This window comes from Homo sapiens, chromosome 17 (genome assembly GCF_000001405.40).
Source record: "Homo sapiens chromosome 17, GRCh38.p14 Primary Assembly".
Lineage (NCBI taxonomy): Eukaryota > Metazoa > Chordata > Mammalia > Primates > Hominidae > Homo > Homo sapiens.
This window is the reverse complement of record NC_000017.11, coordinates 159,997-183,282: the sequence shown is the minus strand read 5'-3', so window position 1 is coordinate 183,282 and position 23,286 is coordinate 159,997. Positions and strand designations below refer to the sequence as shown.

At 58.0% G+C, this 23,286-nt stretch overlaps 1 protein-coding gene across 6 annotated transcripts in view, besides 2 other annotated features; it reads left to right on the top strand.

Moving 5' to 3' along the window:
• Positions 748-1,249: an enhancer, noted in NCBI's record as "H3K4me1 hESC enhancer chr17:31825-32326 (GRCh37/hg19 assembly coordinates)". NCBI's record gives its function as "activates a minimal SCP1, AML or CMV promoter by ChIP-STARR-seq in naive H9 embryonic stem cells {active_cell/tissue: H9 hESC(naive)}" and the evidence as "EXISTENCE:reporter gene assay evidence [ECO:0000049][PMID:30033119]".
• The window catches only part of DOC2B (double C2 domain beta), a 38,862-nt gene continuing 17,208 nt past the window's right edge, over positions 1,633-23,286 (top strand). For 4 of the 6 annotated variants that reach the window (XR_007065502.1, XR_942190.3, NM_003585.5 and 1 more), the window contains exons 1-5: positions 1,633-2,176; positions 10,667-10,746; positions 19,079-19,153; positions 21,093-21,202; positions 21,742-21,868. Coding sequence is in view for 4 of the 6 variants with exons in the window: in NM_003585.5 (NP_003576.2) it covers positions 1,804-2,176; positions 10,667-10,746; positions 19,079-19,153; positions 21,093-21,202; positions 21,742-21,868 (765 nt within the window). In the remaining 2 variants the exon portion in view is untranslated. Of the gene's footprint in view, positions 2,177-10,666; positions 10,747-19,078; positions 19,154-21,092; positions 21,203-21,741; positions 21,869-22,335; positions 22,955-23,286 lie in introns of those variants that run through there. The other 2 variants (XM_017025227.2, XM_011535363.4) reach the window with 2 other exon arrangements.
• Positions 2,711-3,277: an enhancer, noted in NCBI's record as "H3K4me1 hESC enhancer chr17:29797-30363 (GRCh37/hg19 assembly coordinates)". NCBI's record gives its function as "activates a minimal SCP1, AML or CMV promoter by ChIP-STARR-seq in naive H9 embryonic stem cells {active_cell/tissue: H9 hESC(naive)}" and the evidence as "EXISTENCE:reporter gene assay evidence [ECO:0000049][PMID:30033119]".

The following is a 23,286-nucleotide window of genomic DNA, read 5'->3' as shown; positions in this document are numbered from 1 at the left end:
TTCCTCCCCTGTGAAATGGGAACAGCAGGCCCTGCCTACATCGTGGGGTGGTTTAAGGAATCAATGAGATGACAGCTGTGAATGTTCTTGGCGCAGTACAACATATGCCATGTGTTTCTCCAGTGTTTTCAAAGGCCGGTAGTGCCCGCCACCACCCAGTTCAGAACTCACCACAAAACATGAATTTCTCATCACTTCTCACCATGAGTCTTGTCTTTCCAAAGGAAGGGAGAAGGGAAAGCCAGCTGAGCACCTCTTACCTGTCTGTGCTGGATGGGGCCTTGCCACAAGGCTGTGCAGTTGGAAATAGCCTCACTTCATAGATGAGGAAACCGAGGCTCAAAGAGGTCAAATAGCCTGCCAGAACTGTGCAGCTGGAAGCCACAGGCCAAGGCTTTGCCTCTCTTTCCTCTGCTCCCCATCACTCTGCAGGGGTTATGGTGGGGGAACAAGAGAGGCTTGGAGCCCCTCATTCAGATGCACCAAAGGCACCCACTAAGAAGCTAAGTGTCTTACACATCAGTGGAAACCAGAGGGTAAACAGGATTCCATCCATGCCCAGGGCTTTCCGGGAACACACCTGTCCAAGCAGCAGCAGTTCCCAACAGAGCTCTGGTCCCGGAAAGCCGGACAGCCAGGGCTGGGCCCTCTGGGATTTGTTTAGTGATCTGACCGTGTGGGAGGCCTAGAGTAGGAGTGGGGGTGGGGGGAGCGTGCCGCCCAGCCTTATTGCATCACTCACCGCCCAGGCCCTGCCCTCACTCCCTCCTGACCAGGCCCTGTGCAGGTTCTCAGCCACCCTGCCCCGGGGGGTCCTTCAGACTGTACTCACTGACCAAGTGAGGGACTGACCCGAGGTTAGAGTGCTGTGTTGTATGTGACCTGAGAATATGTGTGCACAGACTGAGCCCCGGTGTCCTTGTGCAGTTGAGCGTGTACATGTCCTGCCCGTGTGTAGGCAACCTGTCCCTACATGCTAGGAGTGTGACTCCACGTCCTGCTAGAGGGGGAGGAGAGAAGGAGTTGTGCCCAGGGTCCCCTGATCACTTCTATGGGCTCATGTTTGTGCATCTTGTTAGGGGTGCTTGGGGGTAGGGAAGCCTGTGCCCTGGGTGCCCTTGATCACCTGTGTGTGTGCTCCATCAGGTGTGCGCGCCTGTGCATTGGGGGTGTACTGTGTCACAGCTTCCTAAAACAACCATGTGCGCATGCAGACGTTTGCGTGTGTGACCTACGGTGTGAGCGAGCGGATGCTTCCACCACGTGTCTCTGCACACGCATGTGTGCACTTGCACACCTGCGTGTGTCCCGAGAGAGCGAGCGGAGCCCAGCGTGGGCTGGCACGCGCGGGAACGTGTGGGTGCGCGTCCTGCGGGTCCCTGCCGGGTTGACTCCCAGCTTGTGCCGCGGGCGTGCATGAGCGGAAGGCGCCCGGCGGCCCTGCCTGGCCGCGAGTGTGCGCGCGCGGGGTCCCGGGCCGGCGTGCACGCCGGTGTGAGTGCGAGTGCGAGTGAGTGTGGCGCCGCGCGGCTCCCTCCGCTCCGCGCCGCCCGCGCAGCCCGCACACTCACCCTGCTTGGTTGCTGCCGGGTGACGCGGGCTGGGCCCGCCCCCTGCCTGCCGGCCTCTGGCACTCGCTCGCGCCGTCCGCAGCGGAGCGGGCAGCGGCCAAGTCAGGGCCGTCCGGGGGCGCGGCCGGCGATGCCCGCAGCCCCCGCCGCGCCCCGCCGGGCCTGCTGAGCCGCCCCCGGGCCGGGGTCGCGCCGGGCCGGGCCGCGCCCGGGGCGGGGCGGCGCTGCCTGCATGACCCTCCGGCGGCGCGGGGAGAAGGCGACCATCAGCATCCAGGAGCATATGGCCATCGACGTGTGCCCCGGCCCCATCCGTCCCATCAAGCAGATCTCCGACTACTTCCCCCGCTTCCCGCGGGGCCTGCCCCCGGACGCCGGGCCCCGAGCCGCTGCACCCCCGGACGCCCCCGCGCGCCCGGCTGTGGCCGGTGCCGGCCGCCGCAGCCCCTCCGACGGCGCCCGCGAGGACGACGAGGATGTGGACCAGCTCTTCGGAGCCTACGGCTCCAGCCCGGGCCCCAGCCCGGGTCCCAGCCCCGCGCGGCCGCCAGCCAAGCCGCCGGAGGACGAGCCGGACGCCGACGGCTACGAGTCGGACGACTGCAGTAAGTTTCCCACGCGCCGACTTCGCGCCCCCTCCCCTGGCTCGGGCTCGGCCCCCCCACGGCCTCGCGGCTTCCCTCCGCCGGTCCCCCTCGCGCGCTCGCGCTCTGCCTCGGTTCACAACCCCGCCGCGGGCTTGCGGGCCCCTGGCGCACTCGGTGCGCTCTCCGCGCCCTGCCCACCGGCCTCGAGCCCTCCCCCGACCCAGGCCGGACAGGAGGGAAGTTCGGGGGCACCCCCTGGGGGTGTCCCATTTCCGGGGCCGGGTTCCTCGGAGCCGGCGCCGCGCCCCCTCCCTGCCAGCCCGCCCTCCCGGAGCTCCGGCGCGGGCGGCTGCTTTTGTTCCCGGGAAGGGCGGAGCTGCGTCCCGGGGAGACACCAGTTGCTGCCGGCCGCGCGGTCGCTCCCCGCTCGCCAGCCGCTCCGGGAGGGCCTCGCGGCCGAGGGTCGGGGCTGGGGCGAGCTGGGGAGGGGCCCGAGGCTGGGAGCGGCCCGGCCTCCCGCGTGGTCCCGGCGGCCCGCAGAGCGCAGCTGCTTTGCTGGCGCGCGAGCAGAGGACCAGGAGGACCGCGGGGCCGCTTGTCCTTTGGAAAAACCTTGGCGTTTCCTCCTCCGGTGTCCATGGACCCCGCCGCAGCCCTCGCCAGGGCCGCGCACCTTCGCCCACCTGTTACGCCCGCGGCCCCCGGGCAGAGAGGGCCCCCCAGCCCGCTCCCCCTCCTCCCGGACTGAGCCCTGAGCCCCCGGGAGCAGGCAAGCGCCGGAGTCCCGGGACCGAGGCCCGGCCGGTGGGCGCTCCTGGCGCCTTTTCCCGTCCCCGAGGGTGCCTGTCCGGCCCGAGCCGGGACTGGCTGGGAAACCGAGGCCGGAAGAGGTCGCAGTCCAGTGAGGAGTCGGTTTGCGCGGGGTGGGGATGGCATGTGAGAACCCCCTCCTAGCTCAGCTGTGGCTCCAGACTTGTCACTGAGACCTGGAAAACCAGCGTCTCGTCAAACCCCAGCCCTTCCCGGGATGTGGCCCTTCTCCAGGGCTGGTGCTGCCCCTCCCCTGCGCAGCAGGGATGTCTGCGCCTGGCCTGGGCACTCACCAGGGCCTGTGGGCTGCGGGCCTGGAGTTTCCCAAGCATCAAATGTGCCACCAGAAGCTGAAGGTAGGGATTACCAGTGCCCCCGGGGCACAGACCCCCCATCGCCCCACCTGGGGAGGCCCATCAGCAGTGGCCGGTTAGAGCAGGGCCCCTGTAGGGGAAACTGCCTGCTTTGCACTTTCTAGAGGCCTGGACCACGGCCCTCGGGCCAGCGCCTGGCACATGAAGGCCCTGCCCTGGGGCGTGGGGGCTGGGGAGCAGTCTTGTCCCTCCACTTTCCTGCCAGCTTGGGGAGATTGGGTCGGAAGAGTTTTTTGCCCTCAGGGCTGTGCCCTAGATCCACCCCCCCTCCCCTCTGCCCCTGGCACCCTGTGCGAAGCTCACCCTGGACTTGGTGATCCCCTGGGTGGGCCCTGAGTGGGACCCAAGTAACTGCTTTGGCTGCCCTGAATCCAAAGCCTCCCCCAGAAGAACGGATGGGAAAGTTGTTCCCATTTCTGGCATCTCTGCTGCTGCACCAAGGAAGTAAGAGGGGAGGGCAGAGCTTCAGGCCACCCTCCTGGTGCCACAGAGGGCCCTCTGCATGGCGAATGGCCAAGAGGCTTTTTCTTTTTCTTTTTTTTGCTGTCTCTGAACCCACAAAGCAAGGAGGGGACCAGGAAGCTAGAAACTCAGGCCAGCCAGCCCCATCTCCAATCCATCAGCTCAGCAGCCCTTCAGGGAGCATGTCCTGGCAGCAGGGCTGGGCCCCTGGCCTGAGATACATGCGGTGCAGGGGCCAGACTCACATGAGGTCAGCAGTGCAGGGCAGAGCTGGATGCAGCTTTGCCAGCTTGAACTGTGGGCTGGCCACACCCGTATTATCAGGACATGCCAAAGAAATGCTGAAGACGGGCTCAGAGGAGCTAAGGAGGACGGTGTGCCACTGAGCTAGGGCCAGCTTGGGCCCCTGTCGCCCCCTTCGAGGGGGGCCCCACCCTAGGCTTGGATCCTATGGGAGGCTGACAAACATCCTAGGCCCAGAAGCCCAGAAATCTTGGCTCTTGTCCATGGTGGGGGAACAGGTTCTGGGGTGGGACTGCCTTCCACCCAGTACCCCAGGCGGTGCCCCCCTCTGGGCTGTGACAACCAGATCCTTAGAATAAGCCTCAATGATTCAAGCCAGATGGTTCATTACGGCTTTAGCCAGGGTTATGCTATTTGCTGCCCTAATTATTGGATTATCTCTGTTCTGACAAAAAGAAATGAGGGCGGTTGCTCTGTTGTCCAAGGCAGAGAGTGAAGTGCTGTTTATTTACTCAGCCTTTTCTCCTGGCTTTTTAAAGCCCTTTCTTTATTAAGTCATGTCAAAGCACAAGCACATAACTCGCATGTTCCCAGCAGATCTCGAAGAGGGGCGATGACAGGGAGGAAAGGCAGTGAATGTCCCAATGAGGAGCAGGACCCAGTGTCGGCCCTGCCAGTTCTCCTAGGGTGGCCTCTGTGGCGTGCTGCCCTCCAGGTGGGCCGTGGGCCACACACCCCACACGCTGCCCCTACCTGAGAGGCTCTCCTGCCCGGCACCCACCTGTGGAAGCCCAGTCCATTCTTCAAAGCTGTAATCACTAGAGTGCCATGGGTTGCAAGTGACAGATAACCAACTCAGAGTGGCTTAAACAATGAGGACAGCTGAGGTCTTGCTGCACCAGGGTGCACCAATGCAGCAGCCCCTCAGCACTGTTGGGGTGATGGTTCTGTCCATCTTTGCTCGTGGCTGTGCGTTTTTCCTTGTAGAGCAAAATCAAGGCCCGTTTCCTATTCCTAAGGGTGTCTGGGTGAGGAAGGTTCAGGTGCAGACCAAAGTCAGAATGACGCTGTCAGTCTCCATCAGCCAAGCAGGACCCTCAGGTCCAAGGTGGCTGCTGCAGGTCCAGGCATCACATGTAACAATAAGGTCCTTGACTGGGTAAGGAATTGGTAAGGACCGATTCCTTTTCTCATGTCTCAGTTTAAGAGCGAGGAAACCTCTCCCAGAAGTCCCCAGGAGACCTGTCCTTTTGTCTCATTGGCCAGAATTGGATCACATGCCCGTGTTAAACCTGCCCTGTGTGGTTCACCCAGGACCGGGTCAGGACCGATGCCTGTGCAGGTCTGGAGCAAGGACAAGGGGTTGAGTCCACCACAAAGGTTCTCCGTGTTAGGGGGCATATTCCAGCCCCCATGGGCTGTGGTGCCCCTTCCTTTGAGCCCAGAACCTCTTTGGCCCCAGTCATGTTCTACCTGGACCTGTGATATTTGTAATGCACTCGATGTTACGGCACCAACTATGTGGCAGGCTCTGTGTTAGGCACAGAGATACAAGAATGCTGAGAGGCAACCTCTGACCTGAGGGTGTTCATCAAAACCAAGACAAACAGGTGACCCCACAGCGAGGGACAGGGAGGCAAGAACCCAGATGGAAAGCTCTGGCAGGCGGAGGTCACTCACAGAGAGGGCTCAGCCCTAAGACTGGGAGGAGGGAGGAGGTGGGCTGACAGAGGGAAAAGAGGAAAGGGAGGTGCTCTTCGCAGAGGGACAGCTGTGTACACAGGTCCTGAAGTGTCAGAAACTCAGCCCAGTGTAGGCAAAACAGTAGAGCCAAGTGGCTCAAAGAAGGGGAAGAGACCTATGAGGAGGCCAAAGTGGTCATATCACACAAGGTCTTGAATGCCACACCAAGGAGGTTGAACTGAGTCCAGGAGTTGATGGAGAACCTTTCAACAATTTAAAGCAGATGAATGAAGATGTTTATAAAAATCTTAACACTCGTCTCTAAGCTCCTGGGAAGCAGGGATGATGGCTCATTTCTCTCTGTCCCCCCTGCAGTGCCGGCCTGGCTGAATGGCTGTTTCCCCAACTATAAAATGCTTTCAACACAAGCTTGATGATTTTCTATGGTCCTTGCCACAATTGTTTTGTTTTTTTTAAAGTATTTGAGAGCCTGACATTTTTCTTAAAAAAAAAAAAAAAAAAAATCAGGGCAGATTTCCTATTCCCAAGGGTGTCAGGAAAGTCCAGGTGCAAACCAAGGTTATGATGATGCTGTCAGGTCTACATCAGCCAAGCAGGGGGTGCTCGGCCTTAGAGGAGCCAACAGGGGCTTGAGCTTGATTTTCTCTGAATTAGCCCCATTAAAGCTCTGTAATTATCGACAAGCGGGTGACAACTCTCAAAGGCCCATTAGTGACCAACCCTCATTATTTTTCCGAAGATGTAAACTTCAGTGGGGTCATGTGATTGGAGCGCTCCAAGGGCAGGGCACTGTGGGTCACAGAGAAGCACCTTCTCCTGCCCTTAGGGCCCTCCTCACGCCCAGCACAAGCCCAAGGTGCTTTTCCAACTCGGAGGGCTCTCCAGGGCAGCGGCTGAGCCCCCACTCTCCTTCCCCTAGAGCAACTCTGCTTTTCTCTCTTTTTGTTTCTTAGTTGCATCCTCCTAAGATTTCAGCTAAACAAAGTGGCCAAAAAAAAGCTTTTTGGACCAGGGCAGAGTGGCCCGTGTGTGCCTGTAATCCCAGCACTTTGGGAGGTGAAGGCGGGAGGATTGCTTGAGCCCGGGAGTTCAAGACCAGCCTGAGCAACGTAGTGAGACCTACCCCCCCGCACCCCCCGCACCAACACCACTGTCTCTTTTTTTGTAAATATATTTTTTAAGTTAGCCGGGCATGGTGGTGGGCGCCTGTAGTCCCAGCTACTTGGGAGGCTGAGGTGAGAGGATCGTTTGAGCCTGGGAGGCTGAACTGTGATCGCACCACTGTACTCCAGCCTGGGTAACAGAACAAGACCCTGTCTCAAAAAAAAAAAACTTCTTGGGAGCCAGTAGGCTTTAAGGGAGAAACTATCAGGATGGAAGTGAAGAGGCCTAGATTCTGTGCCTGGGTCTGCTGGGCCACGCTGAGCAGCTCCCCTCCCCTCTCTGAGCCTCATTTCTCTAAAGGGAAATGAAGAGTTTGGGCCATGTGCTCCGTAAGAGAGCTTCACCAGCCTCTCAAAACTGTGACCGAGCTTCTATTTATAAACTATCATTTCTTACAGACCTTCCAGTGGAGTTCAAAGAAATTCATCAGTCCCTTCCTGGTGACACACTGGGTGTGCTGTTCCTTCCCAGGAGGTGGTGACGGGTGTCAGTTTTCCCCCCAGGCAGTTGGAGAAGATCGCTGCCCTCCTTGGACAGGGGTTTCTGTAGAGCCAGTGCAGGGGCTTCTCCCCTCCAGGAGCTGGGTGTCCCAGGGGGAGCAGGCAGCCGCTCTGTCTTCTGGCTGTCCTTCTCTGGGGTTGGGAAACAGGCAGAAATCAGAATGTGCATTTTTACACTTGGGTGTCACACCAGATCCCAGCTCCTGGGAGCACCTGGAGGGCAAGTTGGTTTGAATGGACCAGCCATGTGTGTCTGCATCTGCTGTTTGTTGGTCTCACAGGTGTGGCCAAGGCATGGTCCCTGTGCTCAGGGGGCTAATTCGTTGGGGGAACAAACCCCAGGTAGGCCTGACCTGAACAGCAGATCCATTTACTATCATGTAAAGCCAACAGCTTCAGAGAATATTGTTACAAAAGTACAGATTGGTGCATCTCGGGCTGTGGCTGTGTTCATTGCTGCAGGAGCAGTGGGATACACCTCCCTTCCAGCAGCCTCACCTGCCTGGTGTGGAGATGGCAGCTAGCATGCAGGCAGCTGAAGGCCAGCTACAGCTATTGCTGCTGCACACATACCCTGCTCAGGAGAACGTGCCTCAGGCTTCACTCAAGACCTAGTATTTATTTATTTTTTTGAGACAGGATCTCGCTCTGTCGCCTAGGTTGGATGCAGTGGCACAATCACACTCACTGTAGCCTCAACTTCCTGGGCTCAAGCGGTCCTCCCACCTCAGCCTCCCGAGTAGCTGGGACCACAGGCATGCGCCACCATGCCCGGCTATTTTTGTATTTTTTGTAGAAATGGGTGTTTCCATGTTGGCCAGGCCGGTCTTGAAATCCTGGGCTCAAGTGATCCACCCGTCTCAGCCTCCCAAAGTGCTGGGATTATAGGCGTGAGCCACCACACCCGGCCATTTTTGTAGTTTTTGTTGCCATGTTGGCCAGGCTGGTCTCGAACTCCTGAGCTCAAGTGATCCATCTGCTTCGGCCTCCCAAACTGCTGGGATGACAGGCATGAGCCCCACACCAGCCACTCAAGGCCTGTTGGCTCTTAGTTTGCACACACTTCCAACAAGTATCATCACCTGGTCTCATGGGAGAAACAATTATTGAATAGGTGAGAGCTGTCTGCGCCAACACAGACAAGTAATCTAATAGGAGTTTCAGGCTGATGTCAAAGGAAGAGGCAGAAAAATGAAGAAAACCGAAAAGAGGGCCACCCGGGACCCTCTGGTGCAGGGGTTGCTTCGTGTCCCCTTTTGCCTCTGGAACATGACCGTGACATACGGAAGAGTCATCGTGGCCATAGCAATGACTCAGGTTATTCAAAAAATTTAAGTGACTATTTGTATGTTCTGTTCCCAAAGGCAGGGAGGGAAATGAGCCAATTGAGGACAGTTTCATTCCAGAATGGGTCTTAGAGAAGCCAGTACTGTTAGCTAGAAAACCCACCATAGGGATCTGCTCCTTCTATAATGATCTACTGAGCACCTCCTACACCGCAGGCACACTGTGCTGTGAGGTGGATACTATCGTTGTCTCCATTTCACAGATGAGTAAACTGAGGCATAAAGACGTTAGATAAGCTGGCCACACAGCAGGGAAGTGCACGCTGGGATTTGAACCGAGGAGACTGATGTCAGAGGGCAGGTCTTGCACCCCACACTGCTGCGAAGACAGAGACATGTGCCTGACCCGTGTTAGAAGGGGATGATCTAGACAAATGCCACTCCCATCACCAGCTCAGAATAAAGGACACTCCACACTCGTGGCCTTTCATTAGCCAATTTCCCTGCAGACCCAAGAAACTTTGTTATGCCTGGGCCCAGCACTCGCCCAGAGATCTGCAAACTTGTTCTATAAAGAAGGGCTGGATAGTAAATATTTTCAGCTGTGCAGGCCGTAGGGTCTGCTTCTGAAGTAGGAAAGCAGCCGCAGAAGAGATGTAAATGATGGGCCTGGTCAGGTGTGGCCGTAATTGGATCTAGATCCAGGTTGGGAGCCTAGCTCAGAGCCTGAAGAACACAGTCTTTCAAGTTTGGCCTTCCCTTATCCCGGGATCACACCAGCCACTAAGCCCGTACCTGCTGGTTGGCCTGTGGTTGGAATCGTCACCTCCCCCAGCCCCTCTTTGCCATTGGCCAACTCCTACTCATCCCTCATGGCTCAGGTGAAGCATCACCTCCTCCAGGAAGCCTTCCCTGGTGGTCCCAATTCACATGGGCTCCCCATGGCTCCCGGCTCACCAGACTCTACTGCGGCAAATTATTTCCATTTGTTCCTCCCCTTAAGCTGTGCTTTCCTTGGGATAGGGACTCTGCCTCACAGATGTCCATCCCCTAGAGTCTGGCATGTTGTAAACACTTGGTAAATAATGAAGGAATGTGACACCATTTGACCAGCCCTGCAGCCTGGGAGCAGGCTCTGGGCTTCTGAAGCCATCTGTGAATGTGCATCTTGCTGTCTGCGGACTGCCACTAAGCTCTGCCCCCCACCATCATCTCCAAGCTCTGCCCCAACCATCACCTTGGCCTCCATGCTGGGAGCCGCTTCTGCATGGAAAGCCACAGCTGCTATGAGTGATTGCCCCCGGGGAGGGAGGCAGCTGCACCCAATTATGGCTGCAACCTCCCCCAATTATGGCTGCACCCTCCCCCCGGCTTTTGGGAGTTACCACTGCCATTGAGAGACTTGGGGGCAGCAGTATGAGGACCCAGCTGGCTCCTCACGGCCTGCTCGGGGTTCCCAACGGGCCAGAGAGACAGAGGAGCTGCAGTCCTGTGTGTTGGCTGGGGGACTGTTGAGCAAATCAGCTGATCTTCCTGGCCAGGACCTGTTCCTCTCAAAGCCTCGTCTCCTCCGCCTTGTGTGATCCTTGTGACATTTCACAGGTGAGGGAAACTGAGGCACGGGGCCCAGACTGGCAGTTGCACCAGGAGGGCAGGAACTCCTTTGGCTGGGTGCCCAGCTCAGGTGGACCACACACTGGGCCAGACAGGGAACTGGAGTGACCCACCTGACCTCTCTGGGTCTCAGCTCCTCCTCTGGAAAGTGGGGAGATTATTGTGACTTCCCAGGGTTGGGTGGGACTGGGAGGATGGGTGAGGGGCTGGCATAGAGCAGGTGCTTGGTTGGTGGCAGCCGCCATGGAACGGTGGCACCTGCCCAGGCCAGGCTCATCTGGTCTCACAGGGGCAGGCGAAGCCTCTCCAAGATGCGGCCAGGGTGGGACCTGTGCCCTCCTCTGTCCGCAGCTGCCCTGGGCACGCTGGACTTCAGCCTGCTGTATGACCAGGAGAACAACGCCCTCCACTGCACCATCACCAAGGCCAAGGTAGGCCCCGCCAGCCTGCCCCCAAATTCCCTGCCCCGGGGTCCTCAAGAGGGCCTAGGTCAGGGAGGCCAGACCACACCACTCCCCAGGTTCCTGTCCAGGCTTTTGGATGTCTGCGCTGTGTGGGGTGCGGGGCCAGGAAGGAATTCTTCTTTAAACCTTCTTGAATACCCAACCCCAAGAAATGCCTTGGACAGTCAGGCATTGCGGGGAGCAAAGAAACAGATGAGAATGGGAAGATGAAGGCCTGGACCGAGGACCCTCGAGCCTGGGGAGGGGCTGCTGAGAGGGAAAGAGAGGGGCAGGGTGATGTCTGTCCTGCAGGCCAAGGGAGGGCGGGTTGGGTACTGGTGCCTCCAGGCCTCCCAGACGCCCTGAGGAGTGGGGACGCCACTTTGCACCCTGGAAGCCGAGCCACTGTAGGAGGCCGATGCCACTCCAGGCAGGGTGTCCACGGCCTGAGCCCAGAGGCCCTCTGAGCCTCACTACGTGGGCTGGGGTTGTGGGTGCCTGTGGACCCCTCTGCAGCCTGGCCCGGCCGCTGGTGCTCCCCTCTGCAGCCTGGCCCGGCCCCTGGTGCTCCCCTCTGCAGCCTGGCCCGGCCCCTGGTGCTCCCCTCTGCAGCCTGGCCCGGCCCCTGGTGCTCCCCTCTGCAGCCTGGCCCGGCCCCTGGTGCTCTCCCCTCTGCAGCCTGGCCCGGCCCCTGGTGCTGCCCTCTGCAGCCTGGCCCGGCCCCTGGTGCTCCCCTCTGCAGCCTGGCCCGGCCCCTGGTGCTCTCCCCTCTGCAGCCTGGCCCGGCCCCTGGTGCTGCCCTCTGCAGCCTGGCCCGGCCCCTGGTGCTCCCCTCTGCAGCCTGGCCCGGCCCCTGGTGCTGCCCTCTGCAGCCTGGCCCGGCCCCTGGTGCTCCCCTCTGCAGCCTGGCCCGGCCCCTGGTGCTCTCCCCTCTGCAGCCTGGCCCGGCCCCTGGTGCTCCCCTCTGCAGCCTGGCCCGGCCCCTGGTGCTCCCCTCTGCAGCCTGGCCCGGCCCCTGGTGCTCTCCCCTCTGCAGCCTGGCCCGGCCCCTGGTGCTGCCCTCTGCAGCCTGGCCCGGCCCCTGGTGCTCCCCTCTGCAGCCTGGCCCGGCCCCTGGTGCTCTCCCCTCTGCAGCCTGGCCCGGCCCCTGGTGCTGCCCTCTGCAGCCTGGCCCGGCCCCTGGTGCTCCCCTCTGCAGCCTGGCCCGGCCCCTGGTGCTCCCCTCTGCAACCTGGCCCGGCCCCTGGTGCCGCCCTCTGCAGCCTGGCCCGGCCCCTGGTGCTCTCCCCTCTGCAGCCTGGCCCGGCCCCTGGTGCTCTCCCCTCTGCAGCCTGGCCCGGCCCCTGGTGCTCTCCCCTCTGCAGCCTGGCCCGGCCCCTGGTGCTCCCCTCTGCAGCCTGGCCCGGCCCCTGGTGCTCCCCTCTGCAGCCTGGCCCGGCCCCTGGTGCTGCCCTCTGCAGCCTGGCCCGGCCCCTGGTGCTCCCCTCTGCAGCCTGGCCCGGCCCCTGGTGCTCTCCCCTCTGCAGCCTGGCCCGGCCCCTGGTGCTCTCCCCTCTGCAGCCTGGCCCGGCCCCTGGTGCTGCCCTCTGCAGCCTGGCCCGGCCCCTGGTGCTGCCCTCTGCAGCCTGGCCCGGCCCCTGGTGCTCCCCTCTGCAGCCTGGCCCGGCCCCTGGTGCTGCCCTCTGCAGCCTGGCCCGGCCCCTGGTGCTGCCCTCTGCAGCCTGGCCCGGCCCCTGGTGCTCCCCTCTGCAGCCTGGCCTGGTCCCTGGTGCTGCCCTCTGGCTCTGCCACTCAAGCATGTGTCAGCTCCATGTTCTCAACTGTCCTGTTCCCTTCCCCTCACCCCATTGCTCCCTGTGGGAGGAAGGTGCCAAAATTGATGTTCTCTCGCAAGGTAAGGGCCTGCATGGCCAGTAGAGTCTCCCTAGTAGTGCCATGTAAGGGCCTGAGCCAGCCCAGCTCAGATCCAGCGGCTTCCCACAGAGCTGCCTGGGCCCAGGCCCCACCCAGCCTCCCAACCTGCAGGCCCCCTGCCCCTCCTCCCAGCCTGGCAGCAAGGGCTGCCCTTGGCAGCATGCTCACCCAGCAGGACAGGCTACTGCGTGCCACCCCAGGCTGTCCCCCAGCCCAGCCTGGGCCACATGTGGACTGCCATGGGTAGGTGTGAGTGCCATCCACGCAAGCCTCAGGGCCCTGGTAGGGCACTGAGAGGCCTGCACGCTCCATCCCACCCCTGCCCTCTCTAGAACCACCCATGCTATGACTCAGGGCATGTCCAGCCCTGCCTGGCGGGGGCTCCAGCCCACCCCTAGGAGCAGAACTGAGCATTTGTCAAATCCCAGCTGTGCCAAGGTAGAGACCAAGCTAGACCCTTCCTCCTTTCCCTCTGTCCAACTTTGTAGAGGTGGTCCAGGCCTGGGGACTGGAGAGGTGCCGGCTGCCAGGCCACTCTGGCCAAAGCCCACCCCTTCCTCTCTCCATGCCAGACACCAGGGCCTTCCCTTCCCAGCTCCAGGTGCGTTTGTGTGTATGCACATACATGGCTGTATGTGTGTCTCTGTGTGTACATGTGTGGTACCGTGCGTGCACACATGTAAGTGTGTGTCCACTTTGGGCTGTATCCCTCAGGTATCAGAAGTGGGGGTGGGAGGCCCAGTTCCTTCTCTGTGTAAATCCAGTTCTGTAGGGAAGGGGTGGTGCAGGCTGGGGAAGAGCTGGGGCTCTGGGCTGGGGTGTGGGGAGGGGCCCAGGGTGGGTGAGCTGAAGGAGGGCTGGCCTCTGGAGGGCCAGGGTGGGGGCTGGACACCCTGGGGTGCACCCTTGCTTGTCCCCCCTTATAAGGGTCAGTCTCAGTTTGCCCATCTGTAAATAGGGTTGGTTGTCCCTGCCCTACATGCCTGTTGTGAGCATTAAATGAGTTAACACGTGGCCCCTGGCACTACCAGTTCTGGGAGACTTTTTATTTTTATTGTGGTAAAATACACAGATATACATTTCCCACCTCAACCACTTTTTTTTACTTCTTCCCTCAGCGCTCAACCATTTTTAGCGTACAGTTCAGTTGTGCTAAGTACCTTCTACCTTCACACTGCTGTGAAACCCATCTCCAGAGCCCTCTTCAGCTTGCAAAACTAAACTGGACCCATTAAACAACAGCTCCCCCTTCCTCCTCCCCTGGCCCCTGGGGAGGCTGCCATTTGGCTTCCTTCTCTATGGATTTGACTATTCTAGGGACCTCATGTAAGTGCAGTCTCCCGGTATCTGTCCTTTTGAGTCTGCAGTCCCCGGGATCTGTCCTTTTGAGTCTGCCTTCTTTCACTCCGCAGAATGTCTTCAGGCTTCATCCCCATTGCAGCACGTGTCAAAACTTCCTTTTCAGGCTGAATGATACTTCAGACTAGAAAGCTCCTCTTCCGAACACTTCACCAGCAACAGCCTCTGAGAGGCCCAGGGCGGGGCAGGGCTAGGTTTTTGGGGAGAAGCTCTCCTCTCAAAGCCAGACCCCCCATCTCTTCCCTCAGTGCCAGTACCAGCCAGGGCCTCCCCCGGGGCCGCTTCCACCCATCCTCCCTGTATTAGTCCATTTTCATGCTGCCGATAAAGACATACCTGAGACTGTGTAATTTATAAAGGAAAGAGGTTTATTGGACTTGCCGTTACACGTGGCTGAGAAGACCTCACAGTTATGGCTGAAAGTGAAAGGCACTTCTCACATGTTTGGTGGCAAGAGAGAGAATGAGAGCCAAGGAAAACGGGTTTCCCCTTATCAGGCCATCAGATCTCGTGAGATGTATTCACTACCTCAAGAAGAGTGTCAGACCATGAGATCTCGTGAGACGTATTCACTACCTCAAGAACAGTGTCAGACCATGAGATCTCGTGAGACGTATTCACTACCTCAAGAACAGTGTCAGACCATGAGATCTCGTGAGACGTATTCACTACCTCAAGAACAGTGTCAGACCATGAGATCTCGTGAGACGTATTCACTACCTCAAGAACAGTGTCAGACCATGAGATCTCGTGAGACGTATTCACTACCTCAAGAACAGTGTCAGACCATGAGATCTCGTGAGACGTATTCACTACCTCAAGAACAGTGTCAGACCATGAGATCTCGTGAGACGTATTCACTACCTCAAGAACAGTGTCAGACCATGAGATCTCGTGAGACGTATTCACTACCTCAAGAACAGTGTCAGACCATGAGATCTCGTGAGACGTATTCACTACCTCAAGAACAGTGTCAGACCATGAGATCTCGTGAGACGTATTCACTACCTCAAGAACAGTGTCAGACCATCAGATCTCGTGAGACGTATTCACTACCTCAAGAACAGTGTCAGACCATGAGATCTCGTGAGACGTATTCACTACCTCAAGAAGAGTGTCAGACCATGAGATCTCGTGAGACGTATTCACTACCTCAAGAAGAGTGTCAGACCATGAGATCTCGTGAGACGTATTCACTACCTCAAGAACAGTGTCAGACCATGAGATCTCGTGAGACGTATTCACTACCTCAAGAACAGTGTCAGACCATGAGATCTCGTGAGACGTATTCACTACCTCAAGAACAGTGTCAGACCATGAGATCTCGTGAGACGTATTCACTACCTCAAGAACAGTGTCAGACCATGAGATCTCGTGAGACGTATTCACTACCTCAAGAACAGTGTCAGACCATGAGATCTCGTGAGACGTATTCACTACCTCAAGAACAGTGTCAGACCATGAGATCTCGTGAGACGTATTCACTACCTCAAGAACAGTGTCAGACCATGAGATCTCGTGAGACGTATTCACTACCTCAAGAACAGTGTCAGACCATGAGATCTCGTGAGACGTATTCACTACCTCAAGAACAGTGTCAGACCATCAGATCTCGTGAGACGTATTCACTACCTCAAGAACAGTGTCAGACCATGAGATCTCGTGAGACGTATTCACTACCTCAAGAAGAGTGTCAGACCATGAGATCTCGTGAGACGTATTCACTACCTCAAGAAGAGTGTCAGACCATGAGATCTCGTGAGACGTATTCACTACCTCAAGAAGAGTGTCAGACCATGAGATCTCGTGAGACGTATTCACTACCTCAAGAACAGTGTCAGACCATGAGATCTCGTGAGACGTATTCACTACCTCAAGAACAGTGTCAGACCATGAGATCTCGTGAGACGTATTCACTACCTCAAGAACAGTGTCAGACCATGAGATCTCGTGAGACGTATTCACTACCTCAAGAACAGTGTCAGACCATGAGATCTCGTGAGACGTATTCACTACCTCAAGAACAGTGTCAGACCATGAGATCTCGTGAGACGTATTCACTACCTCAAGAACAGTGTCAGACCATCAGATCTCGTGAGACGTATTCACTACCTCAAGAACAGTGTCAGACCATGAGATCTCGTGAGACGTATTCACTACCTCAAGAAGAGTGTCAGACCATGAGATCTCGTGAGACGTATTCACTACCTCAAGAAGAGTGTCAGACCATGAGATCTCGTGAGACGTATTCACTACCTCAAGAAGAGTGTCAGACCATGAGATCTCGTGAGACGTATTCACTACCTCAAGAAGAGTGTCAGACCATGAGATCTCGTGAGACGTATTCACTACCTCAAGAACAGTGTCAGACCATGAGATCTCGTGAGACGTATTCACTACCTCAAGAACAGTGTCAGACCATGAGATCTCGTGAGACGTATTCACTACCTCAAGAACAGTGTCAGACCATGAGATCTCGTGAGACGTATTCACTACCTCAAGAACAGTGTCAGACCATGAGATCTCGTGAGACGTATTCACTACGTCAAGAAGAGTGTCAGACCATGAGATCTCGTGAGACGTATTCACTACCTCAAGAACAGTGTCAGATCATCAGATCTCGTGAGACGTATTCACTACGTCAAGAACAGTCTGGGAGAAACCTCCCCTTGTGATTCAGTTATCTCCCGCTGGGTCCTTCCCACAACCTGTAGGAATTATGGGAGTACAACTCCAGATGAGACTTGGGTGGGGACACCGCCAAACCACGTCACCTCCCGTGAGGCCCACCCCTAAACCATGGGATCAGTTTATGTCTCTTGCCAACTCCCAAGCTGGGGAGCATGTGCCCAAGGGCCCCACTAGCAGCTCCCTGCCCTGGAAACAGCCTCCCGACCTTCCCCTTCCGTGGACAGAGGTCAGGCTCCGTGGGAGGCCAGCCCCACAGAAGGTGGAGGCACTGGCGGAACCCCGGGTCAGGACCAGGGAAGCTGCCTGTTTGGGCACAGAAGTTGGTGGCAGCACAGTGACAGGGCTTCAGGCAGTGCCTGCTGGTCCTTTTGCTTTTGGCGAAATGTGTGGCTGCCCAGGGTGCTCAGGGAACTGCCGGGTGGAGGAGTAGAGAGCAGCAGCAGGGGCCTCGTCACAGTCCCGGGGTCTGAAGGACAGAGCAGGCATCACTCCCGTCCCAGCATGACAGCGCCCCTCGACCCAGCCTAGCTCCCACGGGTGTCTCGGGGTACGGAGGTGGGACCACCAGAGCCACTGGAAAGACATACGCCAGAACATGTGGTGGCCCAAAGGTTTGTAAGTGAAACGTGTCAGGAAACGTGGCCCAAATGGAAACATTTTAAGCTACAACAAACAAATGTATAAGGACTGTAAGAATAAGACACAGCAGTCAGGCACCGCCTGGTCAGGCCAGGCCACCAGATTCCCAGAACTCTGCACTTCAGGCACTTGGTGGGAAAGGTGCAAGGCAGGGTGAGGGAGTTGGGTTTGGAAGAGCAGCCTTGTCACCTTGAGCACGTGTTGGGCCACTGAGCCAGGCCCTGTCCCAGAGGCAGCCCCACAGTGCAGGGCACAGCTCAGATGCACCCAGCAGACCTCAACCGCTTCTCCGGCGTCTCACGGGGGCCTGGCGTGCAGGGAAGGGAGCAAACCCTGCCTGCCAGGCCCTGTGTCCACACAGTCTCCCTCCCTCTCACTCCAGCCCTAGGAAGGTGGGAGTATTACACCCCCGCCCTTTTTTTTTTTTTTTTTTTAAACTTGAGACAGGGTCTCACTCTGTCACCCAGGCTGGAGTGCAGTGGTGCGATCATGGTTCACTGCAGCCTCCGTGTCCCAGGTTCAAGCGATCCTCCCACCTCAGCTTCTCTAGTTGCTGGAACCACAGGCACATGCCACCCCACCCAGCTAATTTTTTAGTTTTTTGAAGAGACAGGGTCTTACTGTGTTGCCCAGGCTGGTCTTGAACTCCTGGGCTCAAGCGCTGGGATTACAGGCGTGAGCCACCGTGCCCGGCCAACCCCTTTAACAGATGATAAAGCTGAGGCTTAGCGTGCAAAGTAACTCATCCACTTCCCAGCTGGTGAACAGGAGCTGAGCCTGGAGCCCAAGCCAGCCAGGCCCCCAAACCTCTGCCCTTTGCCAGTGGCAGGGAAGTAGGTGGTTGGAAGCCCCTGCCGCATCCCCCAGAGCTCCGTCAAACCGAGGTGGGGTGGGCCTGGGAGGGAGCCCCAGCCTCCCCTTGGAGATGGGCCTGGTGTGAGCCGCCGAGCTGCCTCCCTGACCCGGCTGGGTAGAAGCCCTTTGAATACTATCCTGGGGTTGCCGGCTGCACCCCCACAGATGCCACAGCTGCCTCCCTGCATCCCTGTGCACCATCCCAGAAGGAAACAAATGCAATTTTCAGAGACAAGAGCCTGCTGAGGTCAGCAAAGCCCCTCTCTGTCCATGCTTCTGTGTGCCTCTGGCTGTGCACGCGTGGCTGGGTTTTCTGAAAGAACCAGAGTGAGAGAGGGGTGCCATCTTGTGGAGGGACCCTCTGTGGCCAGTCTGCTTGTGTGATCTCTGTGGACTGACTGGGAGTTGTGGCAAATATGGCCAGAAATGGGGCCTAGTCTCAGACTGTGTCCCGGGGTTATGTGGATTTAGGGTCAGTGAGGGGCATGGCCACTCAGGAGGCCACGCTTGGTAGATGGGAGACGGGAGTCAGGATGATGGCAGGGCCTGAGCAAAGCAGGGTGGAGAGGGAGGCTCAGAGAAGGGGGAGCCACCTGGCTTCCAGGATGAGGACAAGAGAAAGTCTGTCCTGACAGAGGCCCCATGACAGCTGCCCTGGGCCAGGATGTTTTGGGGAGGGGAGATTGCATCAGCGTTGAGCCATCCTCACTCCCTCCATCTGGAGGTGTGGGGCCCGGGGGCTTCTGTGAAAGGGGCCATGAATGGGCCCAGCCAGGAGACCCAGGGGACAAGGGCATCTGCAGGCCCTGTCAGTTCCATGTCCCCGATTTCCAGTTCACACCGTTTGCTCTTCTCTGCCCAGGGCCTGAAGCCAATGGACCACAATGGGCTGGCAGACCCCTACGTCAAGCTGCACCTGCTGCCAGGAGCCAGTAAGGTGAGGGGTTCCACCCAGGCCTGCCCACCAGCTGCACCCGCCCACCACCTCAGGCAATGCACTCTGGTCCTTTTGCTTTGGGGCCTGGACTGGGCTGCGGGCACCCAGGGAGGCCCACAGCTGCCACTCCCCTCAGAGTCCAAGCAAGCTGATGGGACCTCAGCCATTCAACTGCACACAGAGCACCCAGTCTGCCCCACACCCTGTTGCCTCCTGGGGACCTCACGAGTCAGCGTTACCTACCTGCTGATCTGGGGAAACCCCTGGAGAATTTCCAGGCCAGCATTTTATAAGAAGCATTCTCAGCTGGAAGTTACTATTAGGTGCAAACAAAGGACTCTGTGGTTAAATAACATGGGGAAACATTGTTAAACAGGTTTCTGTACCACAGGACTTCTCAGAGCATCTAACGTGTTGATGGGCTGTTCCCTGACTCTCCGCAAGGGGGATGAAGTGGGCAGAATCTGCCCCTCATTCCTACGCCGGATGACCCAAGCGTCCGACCACACATGTGCTCAGGGCACCAGCACAACAGGTGCATCTCGGACAGGAGAGAGAAAAATTGCTGTTAAATAAAAGCATCAAGGTGACCTTGAGCCATGGAAAGTCAGAACTTAATTAGACTTCCTTCTGTGCATCCTACACTTCAGTGCTGTTTTATTTTTAATTTCATGGGGCAGAGTCTGAGTTTACGTGGAGGCCTAAATGGGTAGGCCTGGGGCCCACAGCAGCCCAGGAGGACCACCCCAGAAGGGGCCCTTCCCCCTTCTCTAGGGAAGGCAGGACTGTAGGAGAAATGGCAGTGCCCCACCACCTACTCCTGGGGAAGAAATGGGCTCCCCACACAGGGTCTTGATGCCCTTATGCTGCAAGAAGGGCTCAGGGATATGAGGGCCGAGGGCGAGTATGACCAGGGAAGTGTGCTCAGTGACCCTTCATTTGTGGGACTGGAGCCGGCAGTGCATGGCTGCCGAGTTGTAGGAAGTCCCCAGGACTTTCCCTAGTGTTTTATAAAGAGCAGTCTCCTTACAAACAGCTCCTGAAAGCAATGGGAGAGAGGGATTCCTGTGCCCTTTCCACAGTGGGGAACCTGATGCTGCCACAGAGCTGGAATTGGAAGCCCAGGCTGTCTGACCTCCCAGCCTGGGCCGGGTGTGGCAGGCATCAGACCGATTCAGACAAGGAGCTCAGAGCCGCTGGCACAGGAGGAGGGAGTGGCAGCAATATTCCAGCTCGGAGAGGCCACCCCCGAGGCAGACCCAAGGACGGGATGGGTTCCAGGCAGAGGGGACGGTCCACAAAGGCAGGGAATGCCCTGGGAAGGAGACTCCAGTTCCACACAGGCCTCCTGCAGAACCTACCCCGTGGCATCGGGCTGGAGGTGGGGTCCTCCTTGGATGAGCCTCCTACGGCTGCTGCAACAAATGACCACAAACTTCGTGGCTTAAAGCAGCGCGTTTACTCTCGGACTGCTCTGCAGGTTAGAAGTCCAGCAGTGGTCTCTCTCTGGGCTAAAATCAAGGTGTCGGCAAGGCTGCATTCCTTCTGGAGCCCGGGGAGCCCACAGTTTCCTAGCTCCTTCCAGCTTCTAGAGGCCATCGGCCCTCCTGGGCTTGTGGCCCCTTCCTCCACCTTCACAGCGGGCCCCATTGCATCTCTCTGGCCCCCTTCCTTGGTGACGTCCCTGACTGTCTTCTCTGTCCATTCTTCTGCTTTTAAGAACCCTGTGACCACATTGGGCCACCCAACAATCTAGGATAATCTCCCTATTCTAATGTCAGCTCATTACCAACCCTAAGTCCACCTGCAGCCTCAGTCCACTTGGCCATGTTGATAACACATTCACAGGCTCCAAGATGAGCACGTGGCCATCTCTGGGGGCCATTGTTCTGTTTGATACACACTTTGATGCTAATAAGATCATTTTTCTCTTCTCCAGGCAAATAAGCTCAGAACAAAAACTCTCCGTAACACTCTGAACCCCACATGGAACGAGACCCTCACTTACTACGGGATCACAGATGAAGACATGATCCGCAAGACCCTGCGGTGGGTGAGGGTCCCAGGCCGCCTGCTCCCTCCCCAACCCCTACTCCCACCCGGCTTTTCCTAATGAAGGCAGGACTGGAGGGTCAGATGGTCCCCTGTGGGTTCAACCTCATGCCAGCAACTCCAGCTTGGGGGCTTGAAGAAAGGCAGAAAGGTCTGCCCACGCCAATGGAGCCTGGTGGGTGGAAAAGGGTCACCCTGGCCCCAGTCCCCTGAAGGTGCTTCCTGGGGCCTCTCAGGGTGCTGGAGGTGGTTCCCTCCAGAGAACCGGCTCTCCCAGCCTCCTGGCTACTCCTGGCACTGGTTCTGCCTTCTCCTGTCCCCTCTTCCAACCTGAGGACACTTGTCCATGAGGACAGTGCCTGATATCGTGCCACACTCTGCCCCTGTCAGGGCCCAGGCATCTTGTGCGTCTCCCACCCCAGACCAGGGCAGGGCTTGGGGCAGGAGAAGCCAGGGCTGGCCCTACCTGCGCACACCTCCACCATGCCCAGTGCGTCTGAGGCACTGGCTGTGCCCCTCACCACCGCCCCCTCTAGGATCTCTGTGTGTGACGAGGACAAATTCCGGCACAATGAGTTCATCGGGGAGACACGTGTGCCCCTGAAGAAGCTGAAACCCAACCACACCAAGACCTTCAGCATCTGCCTGGAGAAGCAGCTGCCGGTGAGAGGATTGATTGAGCACCTGCTGTGTACCTGGCTCGGTGGCAGGTGCTGGGAAGGCAGAACTTCCTGCCTGTGATGGGACTCATGAGGGGCAGAGTGAGAGGGGAGGGGAGACCGGGGAGGTGAGCATGGAGAGTCAAGGGGGTGGAGGTGAGGAAGGACCCTGGCTTTCACTCTGAGTGGCCACGGGAGGGTGCTAAGCTGAGGGATCATGGGGGATGACATTTTACCAGGCTCGCTGGCCTGGGCTCAGGATGGCTTGAAGAAGAGGGAGGAGAGGGCAGGAGGCCTGGGGAGATGGGGAGAGATGGGCACAACCCTGGCCTGACCTTGGCAGCGGTAGGAGGGCTTGATTCTGAACCAGATGTGCAGGCAGCAGATAGGACGTCCTTGGGTGAGGGAAGGGCAGATCCGAGGTTTGGGGCCTGAGCCACTGAAGCCTGAGGGGCTGTTTGCTGCACTCAGAGGACTCAGCAGGGACCACGGGTGGACAGGACGCGCAAGGAGCACGCTTGGAACATGTTAGACCTGAGTGCCTGTGAGATACGCAGAGGAGACAGCAGAGTATCCTTTCCTAGAAATGGCATTTGTCTCAACGTTATGTCAGAACAGATTTGCCCTCGGCCTGCTCCAGCAGCTACGCCCTCTGAGTCTTGGTCTCTATGTCCCTCTTCCCTCCCCCATCCTCCCTTGTCTATGGCCTCACCTTCACCTGGTTCATAGGGCTGGTGAAGCCAGGAGTCCCCCGTGCCACTGGGGTCAAGAGAAATCCTGGGGCCTCAGCCTCCCAGCGTTCAGGACACAGGCGGAGGCATGGTCCCCTCGATGGCACGTTGTCCCCCTAAGAGGACTGGGCAAGGGGCAAGTTTGGGAGGACAGAGCCCGGCGGCTGTCCCCAGTGTACCCAGCCCCAGTGGGGCCCGGGGACGTGGACTCACCTCGAGCTTAGCCCAAGTCAAGCCCCGGGGGCGAGTCAGCCTGAGGCCACGGCTTCTTCCCAGAATCCCAGTTACTTTTGCAGAATTTGATCCAATTTTATTCCTTGTCACATTCTCTCCCCCTCAGACATTTGTGTGATGGATATAACCTTTCCTGTTTTATTGTTAGTCACTAACCACAGGTAACCCGGTTTTTCCACATGGTCTATGTCACTTAAGAAAGGCAACATCTTAGGAGGCCAAGGCAGGTGGGTCATGAGGTCAAGAGTTCGAGAGAGCCTGGCCAACATGGCGAAACCCCGTCTCTGCTAAAAATAAAAAAATTAGCCGGGTGTGGGGGTGCATGCCTGTAATCCCAGCTACTCAGGAGGCTGAGGCAGGAGAATCGCTTGAACCTGAGAGGCGGAGGTTGCAGTGAGCCGAGATTGCACCGTTGCACTCCAGCCTGGGTGACAAGAGCAAGAGCAAGACTCTGTCT